The 12,142-nt window shown below is 57.3% G+C and overlaps 2 protein-coding genes across 12 annotated transcripts in view, besides 3 other annotated features; both read left to right on the top strand.

Annotated features, from left to right (window-relative positions):
• Positions 1 to 12,142, top strand: part of BMP8B (bone morphogenetic protein 8b) — a 31,684-nt gene that overhangs the window by 12,478 nt on the left and 7,064 nt on the right. For 3 of the 11 annotated variants that reach the window (NM_001720.5, XM_011542022.3, XM_024449299.2), the window contains exons 2-4: positions 1,350 to 1,539; positions 1,932 to 2,080; positions 11,571 to 11,765. In NM_001720.5, coding sequence (NP_001711.2) covers positions 1,350 to 1,539; positions 1,932 to 2,080; positions 11,571 to 11,765 — 534 coding nt within the window. Of the gene's footprint in view, positions 1 to 1,349; positions 1,540 to 1,931; positions 2,081 to 2,484; positions 2,594 to 2,683; positions 3,535 to 11,379; positions 11,540 to 11,570; positions 11,766 to 12,142 lie in introns of those variants that run through there. The other 8 variants (XM_011542024.3, XM_017002155.2, XR_946750.3 and 5 more) reach the window with 7 other exon arrangements.
• Positions 4,321 to 4,993: an enhancer, noted in NCBI's record as "H3K4me1 hESC enhancer chr1:40237067-40237739 (GRCh37/hg19 assembly coordinates)". NCBI's record gives its function as "activates a minimal SCP1, AML or CMV promoter by ChIP-STARR-seq in naive H9 embryonic stem cells {active_cell/tissue: H9 hESC(naive)}" and the evidence as "EXISTENCE:reporter gene assay evidence [ECO:0000049][PMID:30033119]".
• Positions 4,994 to 5,667: an enhancer, noted in NCBI's record as "H3K27ac-H3K4me1 hESC enhancer chr1:40236393-40237066 (GRCh37/hg19 assembly coordinates)". NCBI's record gives its function as "activates a minimal SCP1, AML or CMV promoter by ChIP-STARR-seq in naive H9 embryonic stem cells {active_cell/tissue: H9 hESC(naive)}" and the evidence as "EXISTENCE:reporter gene assay evidence [ECO:0000049][PMID:30033119]".
• Positions 5,008 to 5,107: a silencer, noted in NCBI's record as "silent region_712". NCBI's record gives its function as "represses an Ori minimal core promoter by ATAC-STARR-seq in GM12878 lymphoblastoid cells {active_cell/tissue: GM12878}" and the evidence as "EXISTENCE:reporter gene assay evidence [ECO:0000049][PMID:35858748]".
• On the top strand, positions 5,040 to 6,865 carry OXCT2 (3-oxoacid CoA-transferase 2). Its single transcript, NM_022120.2, has one exon. It carries the CDS (start codon positions 5,133 to 5,135, stop codon positions 6,684 to 6,686), a length of 1,554 nt encoding a protein of 517 aa, NP_071403.1. The 5' UTR covers positions 5,040 to 5,132; the 3' UTR covers positions 6,687 to 6,865.

The following is a 12,142-nucleotide window of genomic DNA, read 5'->3' as shown; positions in this document are numbered from 1 at the left end:
GGGAAGGCACTGGGCGGCTCCCACCCCTGCTTTCTGGAAACACAGATTTCTAGAGTTTGAAACGGATGGGAGGCTAAAGTGAGACTGCCCTAAATATAGCGTCCTGGGTATTTCCGGACACCTGGGGAAATGTGGGCTTTATTCCGCAACTACAGCCTTTGTTTGATTGGCAGGCCAGCCCCTGCCACGGGGCCCTGCTGCCCATCTCACTTCCAGCCTGGCCTCTACCCTCACCTCCACTGTGTCTTCTAATTCCCCTCCACCCACGCCGCCTCCCTGCTGCCCCCGTCCCCTGTGCTTCCCACTGGCCAGAGGCGCAGCCCAGGCTCCTGGCCCGGGATTCGCACCCTCAGCAGGCAGGCCGCAGCAGAGCTCATGTGCCGTCCCCAACATCGCTGACCTGTGGGCGCCTCCACCCTGTGCATGCGAGGTCCCCTCTCCCTAGAGCACCCTCCCTGCCACCTTCTCCACCTACCAAGACCCATCCCACCCTTCAAAGCCAGTTCAGATGCCACCTGCTCAGATCCCATCACCCAGTGAGACCCTCCGACTTCCCCAGCACCTGACTGGCCTCTCTGGGAGTTGTCACTCCTGCCCTGGTTTTTCTTGTTCCTTTCCACGTTTCCCTCCTTCCTCTTCCAGCTTGTTCCAGAAAGGAAACGTGGGTCTCCTGCCCTCTGCTGTTTCCTGGTGCTTGCTTTCCCTGCCCTGCCCTCAGACCCCTCTGCTCTGGCCCTCTGCCTTGGCTGGCCGGCCCCTGCAGGGCCCGTCTCCCTGACACCATGGCAGATTCGCACTCATGCCTCAGCCCAGCTCAGCTGTCAGCCCTGAGCCCTCCCCTGCCGCACCTCCCATCCAGGCAGTGGGCAGGCTCTGGATGCCTTGTGTCCCCTGAGATGCCGTCAGTTATGTCGGTTATGTTCCTGTCTACCAGGTTTCCCTGCAGGGCTGGGGCCCTTTTCTGCCTTGGGTCCAATGTCCATCTTCCCTTTAGCCTGGAAGTTCCCAGAGGAGGCTCCCTCCTCTGTCTCATCTCTGAGTCCCAGGACCAGCCGGGCCGAGAAGGGGGCGCAACGGGAGTTCAGGGTTTGGAGCCTGGGGCCTGCTGAGCACCAGCCAGCTGCGGGGCTCAGGGTGAGCCTGGCTGCAGGGCCTCTTGGCCCTGTCTACACCCCGGGACCAAGCCTGGAACAAACGTTTGCACTAAATGAAGCCGGCCCCACCCAGGCCTCCCTGGGTCCGCTCCACCTTGAGTGGTGGGTGGCTGGGGGCGGTGGCTCACACCAGCTCTGCCCCCTCCAGAGCCCGAGCCATTCTGAGTGCCAGCCCAGCGCTGCTTTGTCTTCTAGTGGAGCGAGACCGTGCCCTGGGCCACCAGGAGCCCCATTGGAAGGAGTTCCGCTTTGACCTGACCCAGATCCCGGCTGGGGAGGCGGTCACAGCTGCGGAGTTCCGGATTTACAAGGTGCCCAGCATCCACCTGCTCAACAGGACCCTCCACGTCAGCATGTTCCAGGTGGTCCAGGAGCAGTCCAACAGGTGCCTTCCCCTTGGCCCGGGTGCCCCACCTAACCCCCCACCTCACAGTCTCATGGTCAAGGCAGCCCAGCAGGGAGTCGTGGTGGGCTGAAAGAGAGCCTCAAAGATGGGAAGGATGCTTGGCCCGAGGCCCCTGCACTGTGGGAAGAGCCCCAGTGACAATCCTGACTTCAAGTCCCTGCCCTGCCATCCTGGCTGTGGGGACTTGGACAGGTCACTGAGACTCAGTTTCCCCATGTGTACACCTCTGTGGGCTGAGGCAATGAGATGAGGCTCAGAAGGGGCGCAGCCAGAGTCAGGTGGGAGACACTCCGGTGACAGCCCCCAGCGGGCCCTGGAGACACGGAGGCAGCTGTGCCGGCCGCCGGTTAATTGTTCTTTCATGTCCACAGGGAGTCTGACTTGTTCTTTTTGGATCTTCAGACGCTCCGAGCTGGAGACGAGGGCTGGCTGGTGCTGGATGTCACAGCAGCCAGTGACTGCTGGTTGCTGAAGCGTCACAAGGACCTGGGACTCCGCCTCTATGTGGAGACTGAGGACGGTGAGGCTGGGGGCTCTGCAGCCCCTGGGGCTTCTCTGTGCCAGCACAGGCAGCGGTAGTGGCTTCCTGTGGCCCTGGGTGCCCGGCCTCACCAGCTGTGCCCGCTGCAAGGGTCACTGAGGTCCAGGGCACGAGGTCTGGCCTAGTGGGGGTGCTCCCTCCTCTCCCTCTGCTTCCCAGGAAGCAGGCGGCTCTTCCCACGGAGCAGCCTCCACCTTGGGAGTTTCTGTCCTGGGAAGGGAAGGAGGGGAAGTGGCTGTACCCTCAGGCACTGAGGCCAGGAGGCTGGGTTTGAAGCCCAGCTTGGCAGTGCCCTGCCTCAGTGACCTTGGCTGGGACTTACCTTTCCAGACCCCGTCTTCTCTTCCGCAGGATGGGGATTCACGCCCTTGTTCATTCCACAGGTGACACTGGGGAGAGCCTCTTTTATGCCAGGCAGTAGGAATACAGAGGCCAAAGTGGGCACGAGATGGGTGTGTTTGAGGCCCGGCAAGGGGGCGCCATGGAGCAGCGGTGAGGGCGGGGGACCCAGGGGCCATTCTGAGTCAGAGTAAACCAGGGCCAGGTGCTGGGGTTCTTAGCGTCATTTATTTTATTTACTAGCAGTGGAGGACGACAGGATCTGATTCAGGTTTTAAAAGAGAACCCTCTGAGATGCCCCCCTCTCGGGGTGGAGCAGAGCTCCCCACCCCTTCCGTGGGCTGCACCCAGTGACTTGCTTCCCGAAAGTGCGGTGTGGACAGGGCGTGGGGGACCTGACGCGCAGCGCCTCAGCCAGGTGAGGAAGGCTCACTGCAGTGACCGGCACGGTGCTAGCATGTGCCCTGGGTGAAAGGGAAGGAGAAGGCCACTGAGCCTCAGAGGGCCCCCTCCGTGAACCCAAAACCCCAGTCCAGCCACGAGAAAACCGTCAAACAAACCCAAAGAGAAGGGCTTTCCGCAGAATACCTGACAAGCGCTTCTCAAAACCGCCAAGCTCATCAAAAAAAAGGGAAGGTTGGGAAATTGGAGGAGCCCAGAGGCACCTAAGAAGACCAGCTCAGTGCATGTGGGGTCCTGGGTTGAGTCCTGGACCAGCAAAAGGTCATTAGGGAGAAGTTATGAAATCCAGATCGATCATGGTGTTTACTTAATAATAAGGTATCAGTATTGGTTCATTAGTTATGAGAAAGGTACCCTGCTAGTGTAAAATATTAGCATTTCCCAGAGGAAACTGGGTCCAGGTGTATGGGAACTCCTTGTGTAGTTTTTTTTTCTTTGAGACAGGGTTTGGCTCTGTTGCTCAGGCTGGAGTGCAGTGGCGCAATCACAGCTGACGGTAACCTCCAACTCCTGGGCGCGAGCGATCCTCCCACCTTAGCCTCTGTACTATCTTTACAAAGTTTTATGTAACTATCAACTGTTGTAAAATTAAAACTTAATATATGCATAAAATAAAGAACCCCCTGACTTCAGTGGAGAGAGCAGACTGAGATGGACAAGAGTGAAGTCAGAGAGACGTGTGGGGGCCCCACAGTGGTCCAGGTGGGCGCTGTGAGCGACTTGTTGGTAGCAGTGGAGATGGAGAAAGATGAGTCGATTTCAGTGTCAGGACATGCTTATAGCTGGCGAGGAGGTGAGGGAACAGGAGGAAGCCTGAATGATGTGTGGTTGGAGCCAGTGGATTTTTTTCAATAGATTTTTCTTTTTGGGGAAAAGATAGATGAAGGGCAGGTTTGAGGTGGGTGGCCAAGGGTTCTCTTTTGGCTGGAATATTACTGACCCCCCTGGGATGTTACTGAGATCACTGGTCCTCATGGAAATGCCATTACAGGGACCGGTGAGTGTGAAGACCCAGGCGAGGGAGGTGCTGGCATGTAAGTGGATTTAAAGCATGGGATGGGACCAGGTCATCTAGGGAAGGAGGGTAGTGATGGAGAAGAAAGAGGGCCTGGCCCAGAGCCCTGGGACCTCCAACATCCAGAGACCTCACAAGGAGGGGCCACAGAGAGCCCACAGAGACCAGCCAGGGAGGGAGCAGGACACCTGGAGGATGAGGTGATCTAGACGCCAGAGTAAAGTGTTTCCAGAAGCAAGGGTTTGTCATTTGTGTCCTGCTGTGGGCACTGAAGGCAAGAACAGAGAAGTGACCAAGGGTTTTGCCATCACAGAGGTTGTTGATGACCTAAATATCCGTGGAGTGTGGGTCTGACTGAGGAGGTGGAGGGAGACAGGCAGTGGAGGCAGGAGACAGCTCTTTCCAGAACCTTTGCTGGGGAAGGGGAGCAGAGACATGGGCTGGGGCTGGAGAGAACCCGGGACAAGGCAGGTCCTTTCCAGGTGAGGAGACGCCTGCACGCTGCTGTGGTGATGCAGTGATTCTGTGCAGAGGGAAGAAAACTGCAAAATTCCGCACAAGTTGGAGCAGGGAGCTGGAGTGGGGGAGGTGGAGAGGGCGGGGGGATGCAGAGGACAAGACGGGGGGCCTCTTCAGAGCAGGGACCCTTCCTGATGGAGGTGAGGGATACTGTCCCCACTGTCGCAGTGAGGGGTGAACCTGAGCTCTGGGAGGCTGTAGTGGGGCAGGCACTCACTCTCCGGGTTGTCACAGGATTAAAGGAGGGTGCTTGGCACAGAGTGATGCCCAGTGAAGGTGTTCATGAGCGTCGGTGTCACCCAGCGGCGCCTGCTCATTGGACACTTGGTGTCTTTAATGAGCTGGGGAAGCTGGGGGGAAGCTTGGGCGGGGTGGTTGGAGTTTGTGTCTGAGGCTCCACTGGGGCAGGAGGGGACCTAGCCTGTGCCCTTCTCGCGGAGCCTGACCTCAGCTCTGTCCTGCGCCCGGGCCTGTGCGCTGGACACGGAGGACTGACTCGGGGGCCCCCAGCCCAGGGCGGAGCCGGCCCCCTCCCTGTTGCGGGTCGCGGGCCTAGCCTAGAGCCTGCGCCTGGCCGGGGAGACCTGCTGGGAGGGAGTGCGTCAGGGCGCGGGCGCCCGCCCTGCTCTGTGACGCGCGGCCCGAGGCGCACGCAGGGCTCACACCACCTGTCCTGGCCTCCGACCCGGGCCGACTATGGCGGCGCTGCGGCTCCTGGCGTCAGTGCTCGGGCGCGGGGTCCCCGCCGGCGGCTCAGGGCTCGCGCTGTCCCAGGGCTGCGCCCGCTGCTTTGCCACCAGTCCCCGGCTCCGTGCCAAGTTCTACGCGGACCCGGTGGAGATGGTGAAGGACATCTCTGACGGGGCGACCGTCATGATCGGGGGCTTCGGGCTCTGCGGGATCCCCGAGAACCTGATCGCCGCGCTGCTCAGGACCCGCGTGAAAGACCTGCAGGTGGTCAGCAGCAACGTGGGCGTGGAGGACTTCGGCCTGGGCCTCCTGCTGGCCGCCAGGCAGGTCCGTCGCATCGTCTGTTCCTACGTGGGCGAGAACACCCTGTGCGAGAGCCAGTACCTGGCAGGAGAGCTGGAGCTGGAGCTCACGCCCCAGGGCACCCTGGCCGAGCGCATCCGCGCGGGGGGCGCCGGGGTGCCCGCCTTCTACACCCCCACGGGCTACGGGACCCTGGTCCAGGAAGGGGGCGCCCCCATCCGCTACACCCCGGACGGCCACCTGGCGCTCATGAGCCAGCCCCGAGAGGTGAGGGAGTTCAACGGCGACCACTTCCTTTTGGAGCGCGCCATCCGGGCAGACTTCGCCCTGGTGAAAGGGTGGAAGGCCGACCGGGCAGGAAACGTGGTCTTCAGGAGAAGCGCCCGCAATTTCAACGTGCCCATGTGCAAAGCTGCAGACGTCACGGCGGTGGAGGTGGAAGAGATCGTGGAGGTGGGGGCTTTCCCCCCAGAAGACATCCACGTTCCTAACATTTATGTAGATCGCGTGATAAAGGGGCAGAAATACGAGAAACGAATTGAGCGCTTAACGATCCTGAAAGAGGAAGATGGAGACGCTGGAAAGGAAGAGGACGCCAGGACGCGCATCATCAGACGCGCAGCTCTGGAATTTGAGGACGGCATGTACGCCAATCTGGGCATAGGCATCCCCCTGCTGGCCAGCAACTTCATCAGTCCCAGCATGACTGTCCATCTTCACAGTGAGAACGGGATCCTGGGCCTGGGCCCGTTTCCCACGGAAGATGAGGTGGATGCCGACCTCATCAATGCAGGCAAGCAGACGGTCACGGTGCTTCCCGGGGGCTGCTTCTTCGCCAGCGACGACTCCTTCGCCATGATCCGAGGGGGACACATCCAACTAACCATGCTTGGAGCCATGCAGGTTTCCAAATACGGCGACCTGGCGAACTGGATGATCCCTGGCAAGAAGGTGAAAGGCATGGGCGGTGCCATGGACTTGGTGTCCAGTCAGAAGACCAGAGTGGTGGTCACCATGCAGCACTGCACAAAGGACAACACCCCCAAGATCATGGAGAAATGCACCATGCCGCTGACCGGGAAGCGGTGCGTGGACCGCATCATCACCGAGAAGGCCGTGTTTGACGTGCACAGGAAGAAAGAGCTGACGCTGAGGGAGCTCTGGGAGGGCCTGACGGTGGACGACATCAAAAAGAGCACGGGGTGTGCCTTTGCTGTGTCCCCGAACCTCAGGCCCATGCAGCAGGTGGCACCCTGACGGGACCTGGATCTGGGCGGGGTGGTGCGCTCCTCAGGGCGGGTGCCACCGGGTTCCCCAGGGGAATACATGTCCCCAGCTCTGGGAGGGGTTTGCTACTGGCCTCCTACTTTCCTCCCTAGGTGGACAGTGCTCCTCTAGAGAGCTGCGACTTTAATTAAAAACAACAGGAAAACAGATCAGTTCCTCACTGTGTTTCTCGAGCACTGCAAGGCGCAGGTCTGCAGTGGTGAGGAATGGATGTCCGCTTTGCTCTGTGATGTTTACACAGAGCGTGCACAGCTCAGTGCATTCACAGCAAGATTTGATTCAAGCGCCTCCCTCGTACTTGAACCATGAAATGGAGATAAAAACTGACGAGGGAGAAAATCACTCAACCCAGAGTACACCTGAAGGGACATTTTACTACTGCAGTGAGAAATAGGCGAGCAAAGATGTGAGTTTGTGATTGGAAGACATGCTATCTTCACGAGCTTGTTTTTTCTTTTTCCTTCTCTTTCTTTTTTCTTTTTTTTGAGGCAGGGTCTGGCTCTGTCGCTCAGGCTGGAATGCAATGGAATGCAGTGATCTCACTGCAACCTCTGCCTCCTGGGCTCAAGCAATCCTAATTCAGCCTCCTGAGTAGCTGGGACTACAGGCGCACATCACAATGCCTGCTTATTTTTTTTTATTTTTTAAATTTATTTATAGAAATGGAGTTTCACCATGTTGCCCAGGCTGGTCTTGGACACTTGAGCTCAAGCGATCCACTTGCCTCAGCCTCCCAAAGTGCTGGGATTACAGACATGAGCCACTGAGTTGGGCCAATTAACCTTAGCTTACTGTAATTTTTTTTCTTTTTTAGACAGAATCTCGCTCTGTTACCTAGGCTAGAGTACAGTGGTCCAGTCTCAGCTCACTGCAACCCCTGCTTCCTGGGTTCAAGCAATTCTCATGTCTCAGCCTCTCAAGTAGCTGGGATTACAGGCATGTGCCACCATGCCTAGCTAATTTTTGTATATATATTTTTAACAGTAGAGATAGGGTTTCTCCATATTGGCCAGGCTGGTCTCAAACTCTGGGCCTCAGGTGATCCACCTGCCTTGGCCTCCCAAAGTACAGGCTTGAGCCATTGCACCCAGCCTTCTTGAACGTTTTTATCCGTTATCTGGTATTTCTTCTGGGGCCTTTGTTGTTAAATTTTGTTTCCCTGAAGCCTCCCCTCCTCCTCCCACATCTCTCCTCCTGGGACCTATGAGATGTTAAGCTTCTAGATGTCCGTAGAAGGAAAGCAGGACCATCTCCAAGGGAAGGGACCGGGTGATGGGAGAGACTGAGAGGGGAGAGGCTGCCGGTGCTGAAATCCACCAGGAAGCTTCCTCTGTGTGTGGCCAAAGGCTACAGCCTAGGACAGGAGGAGTTCTAGAACCCTAACCAAGGGACTAGATGAGTTTTCTCAGCTTCATTTGAATTGTTCCTGCATCATTCACACCAGACACTTAGGCCCTCCTCTCTGGGATGGAGGCCCAAACTGGCCACTTGTGTGATGGTCCGTTGTAACCCAAGAGGCTGTGAGGCATTTCCTCCTGAATCTATAGTCTCAAAAACTAAAATTAAGATTGTGTGTGTGTGTGTGTGTGCATGCACGCGTGCACACGTGCTGTTGACAACCAAGCCTGGCCTGGTGCATGCACTGCATAAGTGTAGCTCTGGGGGTTCCCAGGCCATTGGGGGCATGTGGTCAGAGTAGTAAGTTCTCACTGGTCAAGGACAGACTTTCCAGGGGCCCATTGGAGCCTCACCCTGCAGGAAAGGCCAGATCCTGGGAAGGAGAGCAGGGCAGGGAGAGTTGGCGCTCATGGAGGGCACAGACTGGGGGTGTGGAAAAGGGGCCAGGGACTATGGCTGGGGTTGGGGGCTTGAAATGAAATGTCATCTAGTGGGCAGTGGGGTGCCTTTTGGGGCTCCTGGAGAGGGGCACCTGATTTGCCCTGGGCGTCAGTTTCCCAGGAGCAGTGTGGAAAAGGCTGAGGTATCTAGAAGCGGACAAGTGACCCTCTGGGCCTCCAACTCCACCTTTCTGGAAGGGGCCTGCCCACAGCTGGGCAGCCTGAGAGCCCCCCACCTTGACTGCTTGGCCTTCCCTGCAGCCAGCTGGAGCCAGGGAGTCCTGCCTAAGAATGGGTGGGTAAGAAGCAGAGCTGATGGAGAAGGGAGGCTCTGGGCTCTGGAAGGAGAGGGCTGGGGATGGGGGAGCTTCTCCAGGCCTGCCAGATGCAGGGCTCTGAACCCAGACCCACTGTTAGTCCCCTTCATCACCCCCCATCTTGCCCAGCCACATCCAGCTGGGCCCTGCAGTTTGCTGGAAAAGTATATGACAATCCTGGCTCCGACCCACCTTGCTCTGGGACCTTGGACAGTTGCTGCTCTCTCTGGGCCTTAGTTTCTGCTTCTGTAAAATGGGAACCTGGGATTAGCTGCTTCCAAGGTTCCCTAGTCAGGCTCGCCTGGCCTGTGAGACCTACAGAGGGGTTCCCAGCACCCAAGCCAGGCCTGGCTCAGAGGGGCTCTGTGAGGGTCTGTGGTGTAACTGATCTAATGCGACATTCTATCCTGTGTCTGGGAGACCCCCCATAAGACCCTTGAACACAGCTGCACAGAAGCAAATAGTGAGGAAAGCCTGCAGGACTGATGGCCTCTCAGGCCCCATGGCAGGCAGGGCTCCCCAGGGAGTCACAGGACAGAGCTGCAAGTGGAGCCAGGAGGGCTGCCCTGGGCCCCAGGCTGTCCCCATGGGTCAGCCAGTCTGCAGAGTGACACTCCAGTGCCCGGGCTGGTGACCACCACCACCCCACTCAGGCTGCTCTGTTCTCTCTCCGTTGTGACCTCACTTGTCTTTTCCTCTGTGCCCCAGCTCTGTTCCTTGTATTTCTGCTGCTTCCCCATAACCTTGACTCACCGTGAACCAAGCCCTGCCCAGTGGATTCTCTCTGGGCCTCCTTCCCATGTTAGCATCTGCAGCTCACAGCCTCCCTGTCTCAGCAGCTCTTGTCCATGCTCGTGAGAGGGAGGGAGCCTCTCCTGCCAGTGCATTTGTTTGTGGCGGATGATGTCACGGGTCAAAGGTTGGTCTCTGGATTCACTGGTTGTTCAGTCAAGTGGCCAAGGGACACCAGGGCTGAGGCACAGCTGCTTAAGGGCTGACCTTTGAGTGGGACTGAGGGTGGGGCAGGCAGTGTCCTTGGCCTGTAGGGTGTACTGGAGAACTACGTAGGAATAAATACATCTGTGTGTGTGATGTCTGTCTGAGCGTATGTGCATCTGTGTGTTTATGCAAACATATGCCTGTGTGTACATACGTGTGTACATCTGTGCTTATAACATGGAGGTGAAATGTACTTTCGTGTAAACTGAACAACTGGCACTGTTTAAAGAGACATGAAAATGAGCTGGTAATCATGCTTCTGCCATTCAGTATCAGGAAATTTCACCCATGCACGGAGTGAAGAGGCTCCATTGCACTCCCATCTTTATCATGAAAGCCGGGAAATAACCTACATGTCTATGATGAGCCAATATCAAGTCAATTACGGTATACTGCTCCAAGGGATTTTATAAATTTGAAATGTTTATTGTGGAGACTTATTTAAACAACCAGAAAAAGTTTTGTGTTTTGTTTTTTTTTTCTTGAAACACACTCTCATTCTGTCGCCCAGCTGGAGTGTGGTGACACAATCACACCTCACTGCAGCCTCAACCTCCCAGGCTCAAGCAGTCCTCCCACCTCAGCTTCCCGGGAAGTTCACCACCATGCCCAGCTCATTTTTGTTTTTATTTTTTTGTTGAGACAGGGTCTCACTATGTTGCCCAGGCTGGTCTCAAATGCCTAGGTTCAAGCAATCCTCCCACCTCGGCCTCCCAAAGTGCTGGGATTACAAGCGTGAGCCACCTTGCCTGGCCTCAAAAGTTTCTTTACTTAATTGCTTTTACAATAGAAAGGTTATTGAAATCCAAACAAGTACAGGATGATACACAGTTTTATTGGTGAGGCTTGGCATCTCCAGGGTTAGTTATCATGTTTTCAGCGGCATCCTCAGTCTGGAAGCGGCTGTGGGGGACAATCCCGTTTACAGGCTTCACTCCTCCTGGGGCTGAGGCCCAAGTCAGATCTCTGTTTCAGCCTTTTCTTTCTTTCTTTTCTGTCCATAAGCCCAGCTCGTGCATAAGAACTCGGGCTCTGGAATGAGACTGCCGCAGGCTGCAACCTGGGCTCTGGGACTTGGTTCAATGTTTCTGCTCTGCCTGGCATCTCCCTTGTGGGCATCAGGGAGACAGTTAATGCCCTGCTCTTGGGCTGTGCCCAGCAGAACAAGCACTCGCTCAACCTGGCAGATGCTACCACGAGCTGTCTCGGTGATAAGTTTGACATTCACACCCCAGAAAGTGCGGGACGGAAGACAGAACACAGGTCTCGGGGTCCTTGGACCAAGGTGGGAGCGCTGGTTCTCGGAGTCACTGGCAGTAGGACTCTGGGTCTCCTGTGAAGTAGGAGCTGCAGGGTCACTGTAAGGACCCAATGAGGTGATCCATGGGAAAAATCTTCCAACTTGTAAAACACTTCACAAATGTTATTATTTGTGACGCAGCTGTCACTAATAACACCGCCTGCAGCTCACTGAGCACCCCCTCCCACCTCCTCCAAATCTGTCCCCAGGAGAGACGTGGACTGGCTGGGGCTGGACCAAGGACTCCAGGCTTCAGATGTGGAAACTGAGGCTCAGCAGGACCCCTTGGGTCCTCAGCCTCCACGCTCCTGGACCTGCCCAGGCCCCGGCAGAGAGACCGCTGCTGTGTCTGCTGCAGGGCCACTGCCCGTGAGTGACCCCTCTCTCCTTTCTGTCTCAGGGCACAGCGTGGATCCTGGCCTGGCCGGCCTGCTGGGTCAACGGGCCCCACGCTCCCAACAGCCTTTCGTGGTCACTTTCTTCAGGGCCAGTCCGAGTCCCATCCGCACCCCTCGGGCAGTGAGGCCACTGAGGAGGAGGCAGCCGAAGAAAAGCAACGAGCTGCCGCAGGCCAACCGACTCCCAGGGATCTTTGGTGAGGGTCGGGCAGGCTGGGGCCGAGGCCCTGTGGGCTTCTGGCTGAGAGAGGCAGGGCGAGAACCAAGTGGTGGCCCAGAGCCCTCAGGCTCAGGTCGGTTCAAGCTGACGGCCACTCTCCAGCCACCTTTCCTGACACCATCTTGGCCCTGATGCACCCTGGTGACCGGCACTCCGGAGGCCTGTCCTGGCTGTCCCTGCTGCCCAGAAGTCTCCCTCTCTCCCCCTGGCTCCTCCGGGTCTTTCTCAGGAGCCTCCTTCAGAATCAGCTGCCCCTTCCCTGGGAGCCGCAGCCCCTCATGACCTGCGGTTGTGCCTGGGCACCCTGTGGGATCCTCGGTTGCTTATGCGAGTTTTCTCCCCAACTGGGCCAAG

This window comes from Homo sapiens, chromosome 1 (genome assembly GCF_000001405.40).
Source record: "Homo sapiens chromosome 1, GRCh38.p14 Primary Assembly".
Classification (NCBI taxonomy): Eukaryota; Metazoa; Chordata; class Mammalia; order Primates; family Hominidae; genus Homo; species Homo sapiens.
The sequence above is the reverse complement of the archived record's forward strand: the minus strand, read 5'-3'. Positions and strand labels throughout refer to the sequence as shown.